The sequence below is a fragment of the Homo sapiens genome, chromosome 1 (genome assembly GCF_000001405.40).
Source record: "Homo sapiens chromosome 1, GRCh38.p14 Primary Assembly".
In the NCBI taxonomy this organism is placed as follows: Eukaryota; Metazoa; Chordata; class Mammalia; order Primates; family Hominidae; genus Homo; species Homo sapiens.
Genome location: NC_000001.11, coordinates 9896387 through 9918605, shown reverse-complemented (window position 1 = coordinate 9918605; position 22219 = coordinate 9896387). Strand labels below are relative to the sequence as shown.

General features: G+C 48.7%; 1 protein-coding gene across 5 annotated transcripts in view, besides 6 other annotated features; it reads left to right on the top strand.

Annotated features, from left to right (window-relative positions):
* Positions 6396 to 7068: an enhancer, noted in NCBI's record as "H3K4me1 hESC enhancer chr1:9971596-9972268 (GRCh37/hg19 assembly coordinates)". NCBI's record gives its function as "activates a minimal SCP1, AML or CMV promoter by ChIP-STARR-seq in primed H9 embryonic stem cells {active_cell/tissue: H9 hESC(primed)}" and the evidence as "EXISTENCE:reporter gene assay evidence [ECO:0000049][PMID:30033119]".
* Positions 7069 to 7742: an enhancer, noted in NCBI's record as "H3K27ac-H3K4me1 hESC enhancer chr1:9970922-9971595 (GRCh37/hg19 assembly coordinates)". NCBI's record gives its function as "activates a minimal SCP1, AML or CMV promoter by ChIP-STARR-seq in primed H9 embryonic stem cells {active_cell/tissue: H9 hESC(primed)}" and the evidence as "EXISTENCE:reporter gene assay evidence [ECO:0000049][PMID:30033119]".
* Positions 7890 to 8489: a silencer, noted in NCBI's record as "silent region_239". NCBI's record gives its function as "represses an Ori minimal core promoter by ATAC-STARR-seq in GM12878 lymphoblastoid cells {active_cell/tissue: GM12878}" and the evidence as "EXISTENCE:reporter gene assay evidence [ECO:0000049][PMID:35858748]".
* CTNNBIP1 (catenin beta interacting protein 1) overlaps positions 8337 to 22219 on the top strand; it is a 61994-nt gene continuing 48111 nt past the window's right edge. For all 5 annotated transcript variants that reach the window (NM_001012329.2, NM_020248.3, XM_047425762.1 and 2 more), the window contains exon 1: positions 8337 to 8511. The gene's annotated coding sequence lies outside the window, so the exon portion shown is untranslated. The remainder of the gene's footprint in view (positions 8512 to 22219) is intronic.
* Positions 8500 to 8559: a silencer, noted in NCBI's record as "silent region_238". NCBI's record gives its function as "represses an Ori minimal core promoter by ATAC-STARR-seq in GM12878 lymphoblastoid cells {active_cell/tissue: GM12878}" and the evidence as "EXISTENCE:reporter gene assay evidence [ECO:0000049][PMID:35858748]".
* Positions 8730 to 8789: a silencer, noted in NCBI's record as "silent region_237". NCBI's record gives its function as "represses an Ori minimal core promoter by ATAC-STARR-seq in GM12878 lymphoblastoid cells {active_cell/tissue: GM12878}" and the evidence as "EXISTENCE:reporter gene assay evidence [ECO:0000049][PMID:35858748]".
* Positions 17902 to 18403: an enhancer, noted in NCBI's record as "H3K4me1 hESC enhancer chr1:9960261-9960762 (GRCh37/hg19 assembly coordinates)". NCBI's record gives its function as "activates a minimal SCP1, AML or CMV promoter by ChIP-STARR-seq in primed H9 embryonic stem cells {active_cell/tissue: H9 hESC(primed)}" and the evidence as "EXISTENCE:reporter gene assay evidence [ECO:0000049][PMID:30033119]".

Genomic DNA, 22219 nt, shown 5'->3' with positions numbered 1-22219 from the left:
TCTCCGTCACTGCACTCCAGCCCCCAGCCTTCTCTCAGTTGTTTGATCTCATCATGTTCTCTTGCCTCCTCATGACCTTTTTTTTATGGGCTGGTCCTACTGTTGGCTTTGCTCTTCTCCTCACCCTTTGATTAGTTAACTCCAACTTATACTTGGAGTGTAAGCTTAAATATTACTTTCCCAAGGAAGCTCTCCTTGCCTGTTAATACAAGGTTAGATTCCCAGTTATATGGTCCCACAGCCCCTTGTATGTCAGCTTTTAGCATTTAATTACAGTTGCAATGAATTATTCAATCATGTAATTCATTGATGTCTCTTACTCACTATGAGGGCAAGGACAATATATGTCTGATTTGCTGCTTTATCCCCTGCCTAGTACACTGCCATGCACCTGGAAAGAACTCAATAAATATTCCTTGAATGAGTGATTGACTGAAGAGACTGGCTATGCTTGATCAAGAGTCAGGAGAAGGTATGAATCAGTGCAACTGAAAGGAATATTAAGAGTTTAGTGTAAGGTAGTGTGAATATTGGAACAAGGTCAGAAAGATGCCCACAAAGGAAACAGTCTTTTGTTAGTCACAGAGCCAGGTTAGTGATAGTAATAATGAGAGTTAGATGTCCAAATATTACTGAATTCAAAATTAAAACTACGATAATAAGAGGAACTGTCATTAGCTGCAGGGAGGTTGACAATGTGGAAAAGTTGGACTGTGATAGAATGACCAATGAGTTCCAAACAAGGGACCATAGTCCTAGAATTTGAAAGTTAGATCAAAACTATGCCTTTTGGCTAGGTGTGGTGGTTCATGCCTGTAATCCCAGCACTTTGGGAGGCTGAGGTGGGAGGATCACTTGAAGCCAGGAGGTAGAGGCTGCAGTGAGCCCTGATCATGCCACTGCACTCCAGCTTGGGGGACAGAACGAGACCCTGTCTCAACAAAACAAAACAAAACCTTATGCCTTTTTGGGGTTGTAACTTTTAAAATAGTGTGTTGGCCGGGCATGGTGGCTCACACCTATAAATCCCAGCACTTTGGGAGGCTGAGGCGGGCAGACACTTGAGGTCAGGAGCTCAAGACCAGCCTGGCCAATATGGTGAAACCCTGTCTCTATGAAAAATACAAAAATTAGCCAGGTGTGGTGGCGGCCGCCTGTAATCCCAGCTACTCAGGAGGCTGAGGCAGGAGAATCACTTGACCTGGGAGGCAGAGGTTGCAGTGAGCTGAGATTGTGCCATTGCACTCCAGCCTGGGTGAGAGAGCAAGACTCCATCTCAAAAAAATAAATAAAAATAAAAAATAAAAATAAAATAGTGTGTCACAGCTTATTGAATAGGAAGAAACCAGGTACCATGAAATCTACAGAGAAAAAGTAAAACTACCAGGAATGACAGGAAATTTGAGATTTGGAATGAAAACCTCCTGAAGGTTTCACCCTTTTTCTTTGATATGCTATCACAGAAGGGAGCCTGTGGAAGCAATTCCATTCTCAAACTCCGTTTTGACAGCAGTGTATACAAATATATAACCTCAGCTCTTGTTTTTTTTTTTTTTTTTTTTTTTTACAGAAAGAAAAGTGGTAGAGAGTTTTTAAAAATTCTTTCGCTATTAAGTATCTTGGTCTATTTCCCTTGGCTCCATAGCTTGTACTAATTAAAATGATTTCAATAGAAGATCCTAGAGTGCAGCTTTCTTTTCTTCCCTCCCTTCCTCCCTCCCTCCCTCTCTCTCTCTCTCTCTCTCTCTTTCTTTTTGCTGCCTGTGTTGGCTCTCATGTTCTTTGCTTAAATAATTAATAATCATTACTATCTATTCAGCAGCATGTGAGAGAAGAGTGTGTAATCTTGGATCCCAGGATATTAACGCTATGCCTGTCCCCGCTGCATAAGCTTTCATGTGAGGCTCTTCATTAGCTAACACCAGGGGATGGATCTGCTGCCCTCAGTCTTTACTGTTTATTATCTATAAAAAAGAGCCCCCTCTGATTCACCAGCTGGGGCAAATACTGCTGATGGGAAGTAATTTCCCAAAAGAACAGTAATGAAAGTGGGGTGGAAATGAGCCACAAAGTTCATTTAGATTTAGCAGTCTCTGCTGGACTGGAGGCAAAATCTAAGTGTCTGTCACACTGCAGCAAGCTAGACCTCAGTGTTACAAATAGCAAAGGATTTCAGAAAAAAAAAAAAAAAAACTAGATGAACATATGAACGAGATATATAAACAGGAGAGTTTATAGTCTAGGGTCAGTTTATTTATTTATTTATTTATTTAGAGAGGGAGTCTTGCTCTTGTTGCCCAGGCTGGAGTGCAATGGCGCAATCTCGACTGACCGCAACCTCTGCCTCCTGGATTCAAGCGATTCTCCTGCCTCAGCCTCCCAAGTAGCTGGGATTACAGACGTGCACCACCACGCCCAGCTAATTTTTGTATTTTTAGAAACGGCATTTCACCATGTCGGCCAGGCTGGTCTCGAACTCCTGACCTCGTGATCCACCTGCCTTGGCCTCCCAAAGTGCTGGGATTACAGGCATGAGCCACGGCGCCTGGCCAGTTTATTTATTTTTTATTATTATTTTTTTTGAGATGGAGTCTCAAAAATATTTTTTATTATTTTTATTTTTATTTTTGAGATGGAGTCTCAGTCTATTGCCCAGGCTGGAGTGCAGTGGCGTGATCTCGGCTCACTGCAACCACTGCTTCCCATGTTCAATTGATTCTCCTGCCTCAGCCTCCCGAGTAGCTGGGATTACAGGTGCACGCCACCACACCTGGCTAATTTCTGAATTTTTGGTAGGGATGGGGTTTCGCCATGTTAGCCAGGCTGATCTCGAACTCCTGAGCTCAGGCAATCCACCCGCCTCAGCCTCCCAAAGTGTTGGGATTACAGGTGTGAGCCACAGTGCCTGGCCTGGGATAAGTTTAAAAATTGCTACTGTTGGCCAGGAGCTGTGGCTCACGCCTGTAATCCCAGCACTTTGGGAGGCTGAGGCGGGTGGATTGCCTGAGCTCAGGAGTTCGAGACCAGCCTGGCCAACATGGCGAAACCCCGTCTCTACTAAAATACAAAAAATGAGCCAGGTGTGGTGGCACACGCCTGTAGTCCCAGCTACTGAAAAGGCTGAAGCAGAAGAATTGCTTGAACCCAGGAGGCTGAGGTTACAGTGAGGCAATATTGTGCCACTGCACTCCAGCCTGGTCGACAGAGCAAGACTCCTTCTCAAAAAAAAAAAAAAAAAATTGCTACTGTCTTACAATGGTGAAGGTCAGGAGCAAAGTTATAGATGTTTAATAATAACAGACTCTACTGCTTGTTTACAACAACAAACTACCGGGCAATCTATATTCAATAAGATGAGGAAAGAATTGCTTGTCAGGAGTGGTCTTTTCAGTCTCATCTGAATACACTGATATCATTGCAACATCTACAGCTATGAAATGCCATTTATATGCCAGGGAGAGTGGGGGAAGACAGTTATTTAATTTTTCCCAGAGGGTACAGGCTATTTGCTTTTAGGGATGGTCATTTTTTTGGGTCCTTAATTAGACAATAACCAGCAGGAAAAAAAGGTGATAAACAGACTGCTATGGTTAAAGGCTAATCAGCTGAGTATATGGATCCAAATTAAGGTCTTATGTTGCTTTGTCTTTACTAGGTGATTAGAATGTTTCAGGCTTCACAGACAAAATACACTTAGAAGACATGTTGGTTGATCAAAACACTCAGCCAAAGAAATGAATAATTATTTCTTTATACTGTTCCCAAACACATAAAAGCTGGGTTCTGTGATGTCGGGAAGATCTACTCATCAGATGCTACAGAGACTAACACTTGGGGGGCATGCTGGCAGAGAGCCAGATGTTCACAGCTGCACATACCCCACTCATGACACAAAATATGTATATTCACCGATCTACAAAATGCTTTCATCATTGTGTTTAATAATTCCTTATCATCTCCAAAGTAAAATTAGATGACAAGTATTTGCCAAGGCACAACACAAGAGGGTGACACATGACTGTGACACTCTTTGTCTGCTGTGCACTTAGCCTCCTTTTAATTGTCTGTCTTCAGAGAAGTTAGAGCTATACCAAATGCAAACAGGATGGCAAACAAAGAGACCAGAGCAAAAGATCATTTTTTCACTTTCTAAATACTGGAAGTTATTAATTTACTCATTCTGACCTTGTACTTGCTCAACTTGTAAGCAGAAGACCTTCTTATAGAGTAAAATTTAAGTTGTTGCCATAAACCCCCAACTGCTTTAAAATAGCTCTTCTGCCTATAATCCTAGTGCTTTGAGAGGCCGAGGTGGGAGGAGGACTGATTGAGACCAGGAGTTAAGAGAGCTGCCTAGGCAACATGGTGAACCCCATCTCAAAAAAAAAAAAAAAAAAAAGTCGGGTGCGGTGGCACATGCCTGTAATCCCAGCAGTTCAGGAGGCCGAGGTGGGTGGATCACCTGAGGTCAAAAGTTTAAGACCAGCCTGGCTGGTAGAGACAGTGAAACCCTGTCTCTACTAAAAATACAAAAATTAGCCAGGCATGGTGGTGGGCGCCTGTAATCCCAGCTACTCGGGAGGCTGAGACAGAAGAATCGCTTGAATCCGGGAGGCAGAGGTTGCAGTGAGCTGAGATCATGCCACTGCACTCTAGCCTGGGTGACAGAGGAAGACTTTGTCTCAAAAAAAAAAAAAATTAACTGGGGGATGGTGGCACACGCCTGTAGCCCTAGTTGCTCCAGAGACTGAGGCAGGAGAATTGCTTGAATCTGCGAGTTTAAGGTACAGTGAGCTAGGACCATGCCACTGCACTCCAGCCTGGGTGACAGAGGGAGATCCCATCTCTAAATAAATAAAAAACAGTTATCCTTCCCTGCAGCCTGCTATGGTTGCACTGTTATTTCATACTTCGCCTGAAAATTTTACTCTTATAGTTATCCTTTGCTGTAGAGAACAGTTTTTTGGCTGGGCACGGTGGCTCACGCCTATAATCCCAGCACTTTGGGAGGCTGAGACCGGGTGGATCACTTGAGATCAGGAGTTTGACACCAGCCTGGCCAATATGGTGAAACCCTGTCTCTACTAAAAATACAAAAATTAGCTGGGCGTGGTGGCGCATGCCTGTAATCCCAGCTACTAGGAAGGCTGAGGCAGGAGAATCACTTGAACACAGGAGGCGGAGGCTGCAGTGAGCCAAGATCACACCACTGCAGTCTAGCCTGGGCGACAATGAGACTTCATCTCAAAAAAAAGAAAGAAAAAAAAGAGAAAAAAAATAGTGTTTTTTTTCTTTTTTTGCTCCAGAAAGCAACTATTTAAAGATACATAATAGGCCAGCATGGTGGCTCACAGCTGTAGTCCCAGCACTTTGGGAGGCTGAGGCCAACAGATCACTTGAGGTCAGGAGTTCGAGACCAGCCTGGCCAACATGGTGAAGCCCCGTCTCTACTAAAAATACAAAAAATTAGCTGGGCATGGTGGCGGGTGCCTGTAATCCCAGCTACTCAGGAGGCTGAGCAGGAGAATCACTTGAATCCAGGAGGTGGAGGTTTCAGTGAGCCAAGATTGCACCACTGTGCTCCAGCCTGGGCAACAGACTGAGACCCCATCTCAAAAAAAAGAAAAAAAAGATACCTAATATATGTTCTGGGACCACACGGAGGCCCTCTCCAGAGCTGAAAGGAGAAAATATCGAACCATAAATGCAGTGAGAGAAGAGTAAGGAGGAGAAGGCTGATAGCCCTGGGGGTCGGAGGCGGGGAGTAGGAGTGGCTGGCCGGCCGATGGAAGGGAAAGTCCTGGATGGAGTATTTACACATTCAGTTTGTTCCTGCAGTAATATTTGTGGATACAGGTATTGTGCTTGGTGGCATGGTCCTTGCCCTCCTGGAGTTTATAGCCATGCTGTGGGACTAGGGCTAGCATCCATTAAGAGGTCTCCCGGAAGTAGACCAAGTATTCAGGCAGGTGAAGTGGGGAGAAATCGGAAAAGAGCCATTGAGGCCAAGGGAACAGCGCAATCAGAAGACCTGAAGCACAAAAGAGCTCCCTGTGATCAAGGAACAGGCACAAGGCCCATATGTGGCTAGAGCCCAGTTGGCAAAAGTGGTTCAAGATCAGGCTGTAGCCAGATCCTGTAAGGCCTTGTTGCCACACTAAGGACTTTGAACTTCCTCGTGAAAATGAAGAGAAGTCGTTGAATAGCGCAGGTCTGACAAGATTTTAAGAAGTTTCCTTTAGTTGCTGTGTGGGCAGTGAATGGGGGCGTAAGGAGAGCCTAAAGGAGAGACTGCTTGAAGGGTTATTGCAGGAGTCAAGGTGATAGCTGGTGGCAGGTTAAACTGGGAAAGAGGGGTAGAGATGGTAGGAGGTGGAGAGATTAAGGACACCATTTAGAATTGGAAACAACATGGACTGGAAATGAAGAATAAAGGAAAGAGTGGTGTCAACGGTACAATTTAAGTGTCTGGTGTAAGCAACTGGGTAGAGAGTGGTGCCAGTTACTGAAGGTGGGGACACTGTAGGAGAAACCCACTTGGGGACCAATTTTTTTTTTTTTTTTTTTTTCAGACAGAGTTTCGCTCTTGTTGCCCAGGCTGGAGTGCAATGGCGCAATCTCGGCTCACTGCACCCTCGCCTCCCGGGTTCAAGCGATTTTCCTGCCTCAGTCTCCTGAGTAGCTGGGATTACAGGCATGCGCCACCACGCCCGGCTAATTTTTGTATTTTTAGTAGAGACGGGGTTTCTTCATGTTGGTCAGGCTGGTCTCCAACTCCCGACCTCAGGTGATCTGTCTGCCTTGGCCTCCCAAAGTGCTGAGATTACAGGCATGAGCCACTGCGCCCGGCCGGGGACCTATTAAGTATGAAAAAGTGTGAGCAGGCCGGGTGCGGTGTCTCAGGCCTGTAATCCTAGCATTTTGGGAGGCCGAGGCGGGCAGACCACTTGGGGTCAGAAGTTGGAGACCAGCCTGGCCAACATAGAGAAAACCCGTCTCTACTAAAAATACAAAAATTAGCCGGGGCGCATGCCGGTAATCCCATCTACTCAGGAGGCTGAGGCAGGAGAATCGCTTGAACCCGGGAAGCGGAGGTTGCGGTGAGCCAAGATCGCGCCACTGCACCTGAGCCTGGGCGACAGAGCGAGACTCCCTCTCAAAAACAAAAAAACCCCCCAAATGAGTAAAGAGTAATGTGGATATTATATTATAAACGAACAAACAAAAAAGGACTTCGTATTCTTTTTGCATAGGGAAGGGGAAGAAATGTGGAGTGGAAGAGGATGGTACAGAAAAGGTGTAAAAAGAAAGGCTGTGGGAGGAGTAGGGTAGGAGGGCTTCTGAACTGGGGTTAGTGTCACACTGTGTAACTGATAATTTAAACTGCTGAAAATGAGACCACACTTAAAGATACAGGTCCCTTTAAAAGGAAGGCGGATGTTAAAAGCAATTTGCATTTTACCTAAAATGGGCTGCTTCTCCCTGTACCCTCTCCAAATACAGCCAGACTTTCTGTAGAAACATTTTAATCATGGGCACCCTTCCCCCGAAAAATCCACTCACTACCAGTACACACGACCTTCTGAGTTTAATGGACCTACGGAGGCCCATCCCTGGGCTCTCTGGGCTAGGTTAATCCCAGGTTAGGCCCCAAGCTCAGAGGTAGCAACGTTCCCAGCTCAACGACGCAGGAAGACCACGCCTCTAAATGTTCTGCAACCTCGTCCATTTCAGAATTTTCCGGGGTTCTGGGTAAACTGGCCTCACCAAGGATTCTGCCCCGTCTTGTTGCTCCCGTTTTTAAACACAGACCGGTGTGTGGGAGAGGCCATTATTTTTCCGGAACACTGTGCTCCTGGAGCAGATAGGGACACGCAGAGTGGCTTTACCGCAGCGCCAGCTTCAGCCTTACCCGGCTCCTCCTCCAGGCCACCGCCTCCTCCTCGCGCCCAACCCGCCTTCCCTGCTCACCCCCGGCCCGCTCCTCCCCTTTGCTCTCAGCGCGGACTCGGCCACTCACTACCGGCGCCGTGTTCCACCCGCCCACCGCATGGCCCCGTCCCTATGTCGCTGGTCTCGCCCCCTTCCAGGAGGGCCCAATGAGCGTTCACATGCGCCACAAGGCCCCGCCCCGCACCGCGCAGCCCCGCCCACAGGCTGAGTTAACCAATTCGCGGCCCCGGGCCCCGCCCCGCCCGCAGGCCCCGCCCCGGCGCCCGGCCCCACGCGCCCGCCTCCCTCCGGGGCGTTGCCGCCGCCGCGCCTCAGCAGCCCGCGCGGAGCCAGATGCCGCCCCCTCCGCCGGTCCCTCCCCCGGCGGCCTGGCGCCTCCCTCCCTCCCCACCGCGGTGACTCTCGGAGCGGGAGGCGGAGGCTGAGGCGGCCGCTCCTGCTGCTGCTACTGCCGCCGCCGCAGCGGCTGCTCGGGCTGAGCACGCCCCGGAACAGGCCGCCGCGCGCTGCGCGCCGGACCCGCTGCCCCTGCCGGCCCGGCCGGGTCGGGCGGCCCAGGTAAGCGCCGAGGCCGGGCCGCGCCTGCACCGCCCGGGCCCGCGCCGCGCCGCGCCGGGGCTTGGGGGAGCGGCCAGCCCTTTGTCTGCCGGGGAGGGGCCGCGGAGAGCGCCCCCGACCCCGCTCGGACCCCTGACTGCCCCAGCGGCGCGGCGCCCTGGTCTGGGCCTGGCCGCCTCTCGCCGCAGACCACCTCCCGCCTCCCTGACTCTTCGCCCGGGGGTCGCCTCCACAGGTGTCCGCGCCGCCCACCTTGTTGCTCACCTCACCGCGTCCGGGTGCCTGTCATCGCCCGTCCGCCCTCCCGACCTCTGGGCCCCTGCCTCTTCCCTCACCTGCGCCCACTCTGAGACTCTTACTCTCCATATTTCCCCAAACTAAACGCTGGGCCGCCCTTCCTCCCTCTGTAGTTTGATTGAACTGTCGTCTCCCGATTCCACCCCTCCCCGGTGAGCCTTCCTGGAAGGTACCTGGTGGGGGCACATATCTCACCTGGATGGCGGGCGTGTATGCACGAACCTGCAAAATTAACCACCTGGAGCCCCAAACTGCACCTCTCACCTCCTTTTCATCACCCCACCCCAACCACCTTCCTTTTTTTGGAACCTGGTAACCGAGACACTCAGGTCTGGACACCCAGCCTCTGCTAGGCCCTCCATCCCTCCCTCTGCCTTGTGAGCTGAACTTGTCTGAGCAGTGCCTGTTGTCAGGTTAGCCCCTGGGAAGGCGGCGGGGGCCGTGTTGGCCGCAAATCAAGAGTTTTATGAATAATGAGACGTGTGGCTTGCACCACCTCCTGTCTGAGGATCTCAGTATGCTCCAGCTGTGAATTATTTTGTCTCCTGTCACTCACAGAACTGAGAGGAACATGTCTGGCCAACTGCTGGGTAAATTGAGGTACAGGGTGTGTGGGTAAGGGACCTGGAGGCAAGTCATGGTTTGTCTTGAAGTTCTGTTCGCAGGAGCCTTGGCTCTTAGCTCCCTGCTACAACCACTGGGCTCCAGTTCCTGGAGTGTGTCCCCAAGTGATAACTGATCTCTTGTGCCATTAAAATGTCCAGAGATACCAGCAGCTTCCTCAGATTTAAAGTAGGACTTTGGATCATAAATAAAGGTGCGGGCTGTTAAATGCCAATGTGTCATTCACGGTTTGCTGGGGGAGTTCGTGGTCCTCCCTTGTAAATACAAATCACCTCTATGGGATGGAGATTCATTCATTCAGTAGTGAGCATTTACTATGTGCCAGGCACCGTTCCAAGTACTGGGGCTTTAGTGGTGAAGACAGACACGGTTTCTGCCCTCCTCAGAGATGACATTTTAAAGAGGAGGAAAGTCAGACAATAAGTGAGTAAACAAACAAGTGGACAAAATAATTTCAGTAGTGGTAAGTGCTATGAAGATGGAGAGGGGCCAGATTACATATAAGAATCTGTGGCCGGGCGCGGTGGCTCACGCTTGTAGTCCCAGCACTTTGGGAGGCCGAGGCGGGCGGATCACGAGGTTAGGAGATCGAGACCACGGTGAAACCCCATATCTACTACAAATACAAAAAATTAGCTGGGCGTGGTGGTGGGCACCTGTAGTCCCAGCTACTCGGAGAGGCTGAGGCAGGAGAATGGCGTGAACCCGGGAGGTGGAACTTGCAGTGAGCCGAGGTCACGCCACTGCACTCCAGTCTGGGCGACAGAGCGAGACTCCGTCTCAAAAAAAAAAAAAAAAAAAAAGAATCTGTGGATCAGGGCGGACTCAGTGGTTCATGCCTGTAATCCCAGCACTTTGGGAGGCCAAGGCGGGCAGATCACGAGGTCAGGAGTTCGAGACCATCCTGACCAACATGGTGAAACCCTGTCTCTACTAAAAATACAAAAATTAGCTGAGCGTGGTGGTGCATGCCTGTAGTCCCAGCTACTTGGGAGGCTGAGGCAGGAGAATTTCCTGAACCTGGGAGGCGGAGGTTGCGGTGAGCCGAGATTGCGCCACTGCACTCCAGCCTGGGCAACAGAGCAAAACTCCGTCTTGGGCGGGGGTGGAGAAAAAGAACCTGTAGATCAAAACAAAGATTTTGTAGGTCGTAATAAAGAGTTTGGATTTTATTCCAAGAACAGTTAGAGGCCATTGGAGGGTTTTAAGCAGAGAAAGAATAAAGTCTGATTTGTTCCAAAAGATTGTTCTGGCCACTGTGTAGAGACTGGATTCTAAGGAGCAAAGGTGGAGGCAGGAATACCAGTTATGAGACAGACTATTGCAGCTGCCTGGCAAGAGATGATGGTGGCTTGAGGGATCGGGGCAGTGGCAGTGGAAACGAAGAGGTGGAATCAGTCTGTTCCCTCTGGGAGAGCTGCAAAGCAAAACTTTGGAGACTGAGAGTTAGATGTCCCATAACAACGTGCTCACAGAACAGGTCCCCGCCTCCTTGATTGGAGAGGGTTTGTGGGTTTAAAAACCAGTTAGAGGTGGAGGAGGGCATAATACACTGGGTTTCATTCCCACATCCGGTTGTATTGTTTAAATGGGAACATTACTGCCACTGTTGGAAGATGTTGCACCAGGAAATTGGGCCTGTTCTCATGGTAGGTAGGAGAATGTTTCAGTGGCCACAAACTTGAGCTATTAATGAGAATGAGGCCAGGTGCAGTGGCTCACCCCTGTATATGCCAACATTTTAGGAGGCCAAGGCGGGCGGATCACCTGAGGTCAGGAGCTCAAGACCAGCCTGGGCAACATGGTGAAAACCCGTCTCTACTAAAAATACAAAAATCAGCTGGGCATGATGGCGAGTGCCTGTAATCCCAGCTACTCGAGAGGCTGAGGCAGGAGAATCGCTTGAACCAGGGAGGTGGAGGTTGCAGTGAGCCAAGATCGTGCCACTGCACTCCAGCCTGGGCGACGGAGGAAGACTCTGTCTCAAAAACAAAAAACAAAAAAACTCCCCAAAAAACAGAATAAAACTTATCTCCATGCTGCTCCAAATCTGTGCTGTCAGAACATGTCAGAATGAGAGGACCTTGGGGGTTACACAGGCCAGCCCCTTCTTTTATGGTTAAGCGTCTGTGTCCCCTAGAAGCTGGCTCTTTTGAAATCTTATAGCAGTTTATGCATTTTCTTATGATGCCTGCTAGTTTCTACCCCATTTCATCTCCATGTGTACACATGTGACTCTAAGCTTTCTGAGGCCAGAATCTCTACTGGGTTTGTCTTTGCATCGTCCACAGTGTCTGAATCAGCGCCCTGCACAAAATGTAAACTCTTCAAATATTGGTTGACTTGCCTGGGCATCTCATCGCACCAAGACTCCTGCCCCTGCCCCTGTCTTTTCATCAGACCATGCTTCTTGTAGACTCCTCATCCAGGGTGCAATATAGTGTAAACCCAGCAGTGTCTTGTTCACAGGGCTCACATGACAGGGCAGCCCTTCCTTGATGGATCTGCTCTCTCCATCCTTGCCTGTGGGGAACAGCTGCTGCTGGTGCTGACCAAGTAGTCACTTGACACTCAGCAAATATGAAGTGTAGCTCTTTATTATTATTTTTTTTTTTAGATGGAGTTTTGCTCTTGTTGCCCAGGCTGGAGTGCAATAGCACAATCTTGGCTCACTGCAACCCTCTGCCTCCTGGGTTCAAACGATTCTCCTGCCTCAGCCTCCCAAGTAACTGGGATTACAGGCGTGTGCCACCACGTCTGGCTAATTTTTGTATTTTTAGTAGAGATGGGGTTTCACCATGTTGGTCAGGCTGGTCTCGAACTCCTGACCTCAGGCGATCCACCCACCTCGGCCTCCTAAAGTGTTGGGATTACAGGCGTGAGCCACCGTGCCTGGCCTGAAGTGTAGCTCTTAATTAGACCATGGACTTTGTACCAAGACCATCAGGTTTGGATCTTGGTTCTGCCTTCAGGAGCTGCATGATCTTCAGCAGGTAACTTAATCTCTCTGTGTCTCAGTTTCCCCATATGCACAATAGTAATACTTTCCTCATGGAGTTGTTGGGAGGATTAAATTAAGTAATACCTAGTAGATACTCAGAAGACCACCTAGCACTTGGTATATGCTAAATTGAAGTAACCATTATTTCGCCTTTTTTTATCTGCTTCTTAGCTCCCACCAGCATTTAAGCTCTTTGAGAGCAGAGATTTTTGTCTCTTTTTGTCTACTCTTATAATATAGTACCTAAACTTTGTAGTACTCTGAAAATATTTGTTGAATTGAATGACTGATTGAGCACCTATGTGCTAGGCACTGTTGCGGATGCTATGGACGTAGCCAAGAACACGGTCTTTAAGAGGCATGCTCTTATGAAGTTTATCTTCTAGTGGGAGAGACAGATAGTAAACAAATAAACGAGTCAACAAAAGAATGTAGGGTGGTGAGGCCGGGCGCGGTGGTTCACGCTTGTAATCCCAGCACTTTGGGAGGCCGAGGCGGGTGGATCACCAGGTCAGGAGATCGAGACCATCCTGGGTAACATGGTGAAACCCCGTCTCTACTAAAAATACAAAAAAAAAAAAAATTAGCCGGGCATGGGGGCGGGCGCCTGTAGTCCCAGCTACTCAGGAGGCTGAGGCAGGAGAATGGCGTGAACCCGGGAGGCGGAGCTTGCAGTGAGCCAAGATCGTGCCACTGCCCTCCAGCCTGGGCGACTAAGCAAGACTCTGTCTCAAAAAAAAAAAGAATGTAGGGTGGTGAAAGAGATACGGGGGAAAATAAAACAGAAGATAGAAAGTGGATGGGACGAGGGTTAGGGTCATAACTTTAGCTCTGAGAAGGTGGCTTTTGGGAGACATGGATGGTGATCTAGGGGGACAGCTTTGTGGACAGAGAGGACTGCAAGAATGATCAACCCAGAGGGGCTGGAGTGTGGTTAGTGATGAATCAGCAGGGGCCAAATTTGTGGCTGTGGTTAGGAGTTTGGATTTTACTTTTGAATTCTGAACAGTGGGAAGTCACTGCATGGGAACTTTTCCTGGGGTCTAGGAGAATATTTGAGTCCACACTAAAAGACAGAACAGGACATTACGAAGAGCGGCTGGAATAGGCTCTCCTTGTCCTGGGAGGTTTTTGAGGCCAGCCAGAGTATTGAGTTTCTTCCCATCAGGTTCCTTATTTCTCTGGCCTGGTCCCCTGAAGATGAGGGAAGCATCAGCTAGGTTGATGACAGTCCTGGTATGTGTGTCTGTGTGTCCTGCATTTTATTGAGCTTCCTTTTTTCCGAGTCCCTAAGTCATCAGCAAACATTTCTTGAGTTGAATGAATGAATGTTGCCAGTGCTTAGCAGCTTGTCGTCTACAGTGGAATGTCTGTGTTCTCTGCTCCTCTCTGTGTGAGTTAAAGCTTCTTATCTTGGCAGTGACTCTTAAGTAGTCTTGGAGTTTTGCAGCCATTCTTCATAAATGCATCAGCGACACACATACATGTATATCACTGTTTCTTTGTTGAGAGTATACCAAGATTGACTGGACAGCTTTCCTACCCCCACCCTATCCCTACTTCTCTGCCAGTCCCTGCCATCACCAGGCCCCTCTATAGAGGGTTGGGCCACACTGGCAACTCTGACCATCTCCTGTTTGATTACTTGATCAGGAACACAGTGGTATCTAGAAAGCATTGGTTGTCTTTCATCTGGGCTGAGCGGAGTTGGGTAACTCAGCAGAGCGCTGAGAGAAATGGCATTTCAAACCCAGGGGCTCCACTCACCAGGAATCCAGAGTGGGACTCTTTAGACTGGGTGCCATTGGCCAGCTTTTCAGATCCCTTTTTGGTCCTCCCATCAGTTGTCCACGATGCCACTTGCTCTGCTAACCTGGAGAGACCAACACAAGTTAGTGGGAATCAAATAGGACGCTTGTGTTGCAGGTCACTTTCAGAGTCCTGGGGCATTTTATTGGCAGAATCTGAAATGCCTGCTAGTCATATGTCATCTGTAGATTTGTAAAAACTAAACGCAGAGTGGGTGCAAGCTTTTTCTCATGTAGCTGGTTTTCTTACTATGAGAATGATACGTGCTCATTTAGAAAATGAGAAAGTGAATGATAGTGGCATTTTACATACACTGTCTCATTTCATCCTCACGGTTTCTGAGATACGTACCATTATTACCATTTTGTATGTTAAGAAGCTGAGGCCTAGAAAAGTTAAGTAAAGTGTTTGAGGTCGAGCTAGTTGGGAACAGAATCAGATTCAAACCAGGCAGTATGACTCCCAGGCAGAGCTCTGAGCACCATGTCATATACTGATTCTCAGCAGAAACCATAGAGAAGAAAGAAAAGCCTCCCTTAAGCCCAATGTAGGTGATACTCTTAGGGTAGTCAGAGTTAACTTGCTGGCTGCTCCAAAGGGTTTGAATCCTAGGCCCTTTCCCTGTCTTGTCTGACCCTGGGCAAGCTAAGTAGCCTCCCTTTGCTTTACTTTCCCTGACTGTAAATGGGGATAATGATACTTGTACCTTCGTAGTTCCCAGGGGCATGGTGGTGTTTGAGCCAAAGTGCTTTTGAACTTCTTTTATGAAAGGGAACTGAGCACCAACTACTGTTATACTCAGTTATTAAAGACCTATTATGCTCTGGTCTTCCATGAAGCCTTGTTAAAAAGGGAAAGACAACAGTCCCCAGAGGGAAGGGTGTCCTTCTGTGGGGGAATAGCTGGACAAAAACATTGTTCTCCCCTTTTGAAGTTTCTTAAGGATTGAGGGTCATACCTGTGGCTCCATTTTTCATGGTTGTGTTGTAGTGTAGAAACTTCTGTAAACAGGTATGTGTTCTGTGCATCATAACATGATTGAGGACCCCCAATGGCAGGGCCAAGAGGGAGTTAAAGGGCTTGGTTTCTAATCTTGGTTCTGATGTTTTTTATAAGCCAGGATCACAGAGACACCAAGAAGTGGTGGTTGTCTTCCATTACTCCTCCCTCCCTCCCCTCCTTCCTTCTAATGACTCATTGATTCAATTAACAAATATTTATTAAGGCTTTATTACAATCTGGACACCATCATAGGTACTAGGAATATCGTGGCAAGCAGGACAAAAATAGTTATTCCCCAGCCGGGCGTGGTGGCTCACGCCTGTAATCCCAGCACTTTGGGAGGCCAAGGCAGGCGGATCACGAGGTCAGGAGATTGAGACCATCTTGGCTAACATGGTGAAACCCCGTCTTTACTAAAAATACAAAAAATTAGCCTGGCGTGGTGGTACGCACCTGTAGTCCCAGCTACTCGGGAGGCTGAGGCAGGAGAATTGCTTGAACGCTGGAGGCGGAGGTTGCAGTGAGCTGAGATTGCACCATTGCACTCCAGCCTGGGCAATAGAGTGAGACTCTGTCTCAAAAAAAAAGAAAAAAAAAAAAGTTCTTCCCCATACCAAGCTCTTAGTCTAGGACCAAAAGGCTTATTATATAGTTGGGATCGTGTGAATGAAGAAAGAATGATTTGATGAGAGTGCTTTGAACTCTTAGGAGGAGAGTCAGGACATGATCTCCAGATGCACACTGGCCCCAGTGGCTACCTGCCCTGAGTGGACATTAAGGTGGGGGGCTGGGTTGGCTTTCCAGAAGAGCAAGGGAAGAGTGAAACAATTAGAGCCCTTCCGTGTCCTGTAACAAAAGCTGTACTTGGTATGGACATCTTGAGAAACAGTGCACACCTCAGGAGCCATGGTTAGCAAGAACTCCCTTCCCACTTAAAGCCTTAACCCTTTGACTGTTAACTTGAGTTTCAGTCAGGGAGAAATGCTCATATTGAGGATTTCTTTTCAAAGTTTTTGCTTGGGGCTGTGGATTTTGAAGTTCTGCCATTAACACGGTGCACTTCTTATGTAACAGGCGCCAGACCTTGTCTCTGCAGAGTTCTCTTCCTGCCCGACACGTCTCTCGCTGCCAACTTTGGAAAGCAGGCATATGGTGGCAGGCGGGCTCTCCACAGTGCTCATGGGGTTCCTGGGGGAACTGATGCACATGGACACCTATGTCCTCTGGCCCCCATTTTGGGTCAATATATACAGATTAGAGTGGGGGCAGGGTTCTTTCTTCCCCAAGCACCAGGCCTTCAGCTCTCTTCAAAGACCAAGGTCAGGGAGGTCTAGCAAGCAGTTCATGTGAAAGCACACAGTGTTCCTCTCTCCCTCCAGCCAGGGCTGGGTAGAGAGGGCAAAGGGCTGGCAGAGGCAGCCACTCACATTTGGAGTGAGAGGAGGGTGCCAGGACAGCGAGGCATATCCTTGTGCGATGTTATTTTCACCAGCCCTTGTCATGTCACTGTATGTGGCACTCCCGGTGCTAATCAGCTGGCCCTTCAAGCTGAGGGGCGGGGCAGCAGCATCCAGCATCTGATTAGGAAGGCAAGGCCTGCACAGCGAGGAGGCCAGGTCACTCAGTGCACCTGGACATCTTCAAGTGTGATTGGAGCCCGCAGTGACGCTGTTTCAGCTAGAAGATTGTGACCCACTTCCATATCCTCTCCCACATGGAGAGCTGGGGAGGAGGCTTTGAGAGCCAGCTCCAATTAAGGTGTTTTTTTCAGGCCCGAGTAGCACCCAAGTGTCTAACCCACATGTTTTCTGCTGCTGGAATCCTGTGGTCAATGTCCTTGACCTGAACCGAATAACCACCCCAGGGCAGATGAAGTTACCACCCCTGAAGTCCTAGATTCCACCAGCAAGGCTTCCTGCAAAGATCAGGATCCCTTGTGGATCAAACACCTCACATAATATGGGCCCCACCCCTGTTCTTCCTGATCAATCACCAAGCAAACCTTGGACCAGTTTCCAAGGAGATACTTAGCCTTGACCTCCCTGCCCAGACAGGCCTCACAGCCACCTGCCTCAGGCAGCCCTGGCTTCCCAGAGACCCATCCTGACCCTGACTTGCACCCTTGCCAAATATCCTAAATATCCTTCTGCTGCAGGAATATGAAATGAGACCTGTTTCTGAACTTCTAGGTTTCTGTTATTCTTTCCAGGTAGATGACATTTTAATGCTTCTCTGTAATTTTACATTTCTTTTTTGTGTGTTGGGGAGGGGCCTGGGGTATGATTTAAATACGTGAAGCTGTTAGTACTGGTAGCACTTAAGCTGGTGAAGTGGTGGGTCTGAGCCCCTGAATAATCCCATTTTACTTACCAAGAAGGGAGCAAAAGTACCTGCCAAGGTCAGCTCTGGCTAGGCCCTATGAGCCTGTTCCTGAGCGTGTGCTCACACTCGGCTTCTGGACTGAGGCAGAAGGTCCTTCTCCCTCCGTGTGTGTTAATACTGTTGGCACTGCCCACAGCCTCCAGGGGCACATAGCCTTCCTCTGGCCGATCGCTGGAGTTGCAGGAAGATGAGGTGCTGGTGATTTTTTGGAAGACATGGTGGGGCTTACAGGCAAGCAAGCTGGCCCCCAGTTCTGCTTTCCTGCACAGAGCAGTCTTCCAGAGTTTGTGGTGGGATGTAAGGGAGCTCGGGCAGCCGGAGCAGTGCAGAGACCTGGCTCCTTCCTCCCTCCTGAGGTCTGCTGCTGCTGGCACAAGGGGTCACGTGTGCCCGTTTGCCTTGTGTTTGCTTTGGGTGCTGGCTTCCCACTCTCACTTCCTAATCTCTAAAGAGGAGTGGCCTGTTAGGTCCATGAGTGGTGACAGTGGAGATTGAAGTGCTTAGCGTCAGGCACCGCACTGCACTGGCAAGAGCACTCAGATGAAGGGTGTTCTTTCATTCTCATCTGACCGCATTCCACTTCATTTAAAAACATCATTCGCCCAGGCTGGAGTGTGGTGACACGATCACAGCTCACCGTGATCACAGCCTCAACCTCCCAGGCTCAAGTGATCCTCCCATCTCGGCCTCCCAAGTAGTTGGGACCACAAGCACATGCCACCATGCTGTGCTAATTTTTTGTATTTTTAGTAGAGATGGGGTTTCACCTTGTTAGCCAGGATGGTCTCAATCTTGTGATCTGCTCGCCTCGGCCTTCCAAAGTGCTGGGATTACAAGCGTGAGCCACAGCACCCGGCCTCCACCTCACTCATTTTAATGGCATTCTATTGATTGTTTTTTTTTTTTTTCTTGAGACGGAGTCTTGTCGTCCAGGCTGGAGTGTAGTGGTGCAATCTTGCCTCACTTCAACCTCTGCCTCCTGGGTTCAAGGGATTCTCCTGCCTCAGCCTCCCGAGTACCTGGGATTACAGGCATGTGCCACCAGGCTCAGCTAATTTTTGTAGGTTTAGTAAAGGTGGGGCTTTGCCATGTTGGCTAGGCTGGTCTCGAACCCCTGACCTCAGGTGATCCACCCACCTCGGCCTCCCAAAGTTCTGGGATTACAGGCGTGAGCCACCATGCACAGCCATTTCTTTCTTTCTTTCTTTCTTTCTTTTTTTTTGAGACGGAGCCTTGCTCTGTCGCCAGGCTGGAGTGCAGTGGCATGATCTCAGCTCACTGCAACCTCCGCCTCCCGGGTTCAAGTGATTCCCTTGCCTCAGCCCCCCAGGTAGCTGGGATTACAGCCATGCGTCACCATGCCCGGCTAATTTTTTGTATTTTAGTAGAGATGGGGTTTCACCATGTTGGCCAAGATAGCCTTGATCTCCTGACCTTGTGACCTACCCACCTCGGCCTCCCAAAGTGCTGGGATTACAGGCGTGAGGCACTGCGCCTGTCATTTTTTTTTTTTTTTTTTTTTTTGAGATGGAGTCTTGTTCTGTCGCCCAGGCTGGAGTGCATTGGTGCCATCTCGGCTCACTGCAGCCTGTGCCTCCCAGGTTCCAGCGATTCTCCTGCCTCAGCCTCCTGGGTAGCTGGCATTACAGGTGCACGCCACCACACCCAGCTAATTTTTGTATTTTTAGTAGAGATGGGGTTTCACCATGTTGGCCAGGCTGGTCTTGAACTCCTGATCTTAGGTGATCTGCCTGCCTTGGCCTCCCAAAGTGCTGGGATCACAGGCGTGAGCCACCGTGCCCGGCCTCATTTTATATTTTTAAGGCCGCTTATGAACCATCTCTTAGTCAGCCTTCCATATCCTCAGGTTCCCCATCTGTGGATTAAACCAACCACAAAAATATTCAGGAAAAATTCTCATGAATCACTGCTAAAGAACTTACTCATGTAACCAAACACCACCTGTTCCCCAAAAACCTACGGAAGTAAAAAATTTTTTTTAAATACCAAAAAATAAAATGAAATTAAATTCAAAAAATATTCAGGGAAAAACCAAAATATAACAATACAATAACAAATAATACAAATAAAAAACCAATATAGTATAACTATTTACATAGTATTTACATTTATCAGGTACTGTGAATAATCTAGAGATGATTTAAAGTATATGGCAGGATGTGCATAGGTTACATGCAAATACTGTGTCACTTTATATAAGGGACTAGAGCATCTGTGGATTTTGGTTTCTGTGTAGGGGTCCTGGAGCCAATCCCCAATGGATACTGAGGGACAACTGTGTATTGTTTGCCCATTTCTTTTTTAGGTTTACAGTCTTTTTCTTATTGACTTACACTTTTTTTTATATATTAAGGAAATTTGTCCTATGGCTGTGATATGTGTTATACATATTTTCGCCAATTTGTCACTGTTCTTTTTATTTTTTTTTTCCCTTTTGAGACACAGTCTCGCTGTGTTGCCAGGCTGTAGTGCAGTGGCACGATCTTGGCTCACTGCAACCTCCGACTCCCAGATTCCACAGATTCTTGTGCCTCAGCCTCCTGAGTAGCTGGGATTACAGGCACCTGCCACCACACCCAGATAATTTTTGTATTTTTAGCAGAGACGGGGTTTCACCACGTTGGCCAGGATGGTCTCGATCTCCTGACCTCGTGATGCGCCCACCTTGGCCTCCCAAAGGGCTAGGATTACAGGTGTGAGCCACTGTGCCCGGCCCACTGTTCTTTTAATTATATATTTTTTCATGCAGAGTTTTTGATTTTTATGTAATCAGATTTTTTAATATTTTATGACTTCTAGGTTTCTTTTTAAATTTTTTAATTTTATTTATTTTTTTTTTTTGCTGAGACAGAGTCTCACTCTGTTATCCAGACTGGAGTTCAGTGGTGCGATCTCAGCTCACTGCATCCTCTGCCTTCTGGGTTCAAGCGATTCTCCTGCCTCAGCCTGTAGCTGGGACTACAGGCGTGTGCCAGCACGCCCGGCTAATTTTTGTATTTTTTAGTAGAGACGGGGTTTCGCCCTATTGGCCAGGCTGGTCTTGAACTCCTAACCCTGTGATCCGCCCACCTCGGCCTCCCAAAGTGCTGGGATTACAGGCGTGAGCCACCGCATCCGGCCAAATTTTTTTATTTCTTTTATTTTTTGAGACGGAGTCTCACTCTTCACACAGGCTGGAATACAGTGGCACGATCTCAGCGCACTGCAACCTCCACCTTCCAGCTTCAAGTGATTCTCCTGCCTCAGCCACCTGAGTCACTGGGATTACAGGCGCCTGCCACCACGCTTGGCTAATTTTTTTTTTTTTGAAACGGAGTCTTGCTCTGTCGCCCAGGCTGGAGTGCAATAGCAGGATCTCGGCTCACTGCAACCTCCGCCTCCTGGGTTCAAGCAATTCTCTTGCCCCAGCCTCCTGAGTAGCTGGGATTACAGGCACGCGCCACCATGCCTGGCTAATTCTCATTTTTTTTGTTTTGTTTTGTTTTTGTTTTTGTTTTTGTTTTTTGAGACGGAGTCTCGCTCTGTGGCCCAGGCTAGAGTGCAGTGGAGCGATCTTGGCTCACTGCAAGCTCCGCCTCCTGGGCTCATGCCATTGTCCTGCCTCAGCCTCCTGAGTAGCTGGGACTACAGGCACCCGCCACCACATCTGGCTAATTTTTTGTATTTTTAGTAGAGACGGGGTTTCACCATGTTAGCCAGGATGGTCTCGATCTCCTGACCTCGTGATCCGCCCGCCTCGGCCTCCCAAAGTGCTGGGATTACAGGCCTGAGCCACCGTGCCTGGCCACGTTTTTTGTTTGTTTGTTTGTTTTTGAGACAGAGTCTCGCTTTGTCTCCCAGGCTGGAGTGCAATGCAGTGATGTGATCTTGGCTCATTGCAACTCCTCCTCCCGTGTTCAAGCGATTCTCTTGCCTCAGCCTCCTGAGTAGCTGGGATTACAGGCGCGCGCCACCATGCCCGGCTAATTTTCATTTTTTTTTTTTGTTTGTTTGAGACAGAATCTCACTCTGTCGCCCAGGCTGGAGTGCAGTGGCACGATCTCGGCTCACTGCAACCTTGGCCTCCCGGGTTCCATTGATTCTTCTGCCTCAGCCTCCTGAGTAGCTGGGACTACAGGCACGTGCCACCATGCCTGGCTAATTTCTGTATTTTTAGTAGAAATGGGGTTTCACCATTTTGGCCAGGCTGGTCTCGAACTCCTGACCTCATGATTCGCCCACCTTGGTCTCTCAAAGTGCTGGGATTAAAGGCGTGAGCCGCCGCACCCGGCCAATTTTTGTATTTTTTAGTAGAGACGGGGTTTTACCATGTTAGTCAGGCTGGTCTTGAACTCCTGACCTTGTGATCTGCCCACCTCGGCCTCCCAAAATCCTGGGATTAGAAGCGTGAGCCGCCATGGCCGGCCTAATTTTTATATTTTTAGTAGAGACGGGGTTTCACCATGTTGGCCAGGCTACTCTCGAACTCCTGACCTCAGGTGATCTGCCTGCCTTTGTGTCTCAAAGTGCTGGGATTGCAGGCATGAGCCACTGCACCCGGCTGACTTCTAGGTTTCATTTCATATTTTCTTC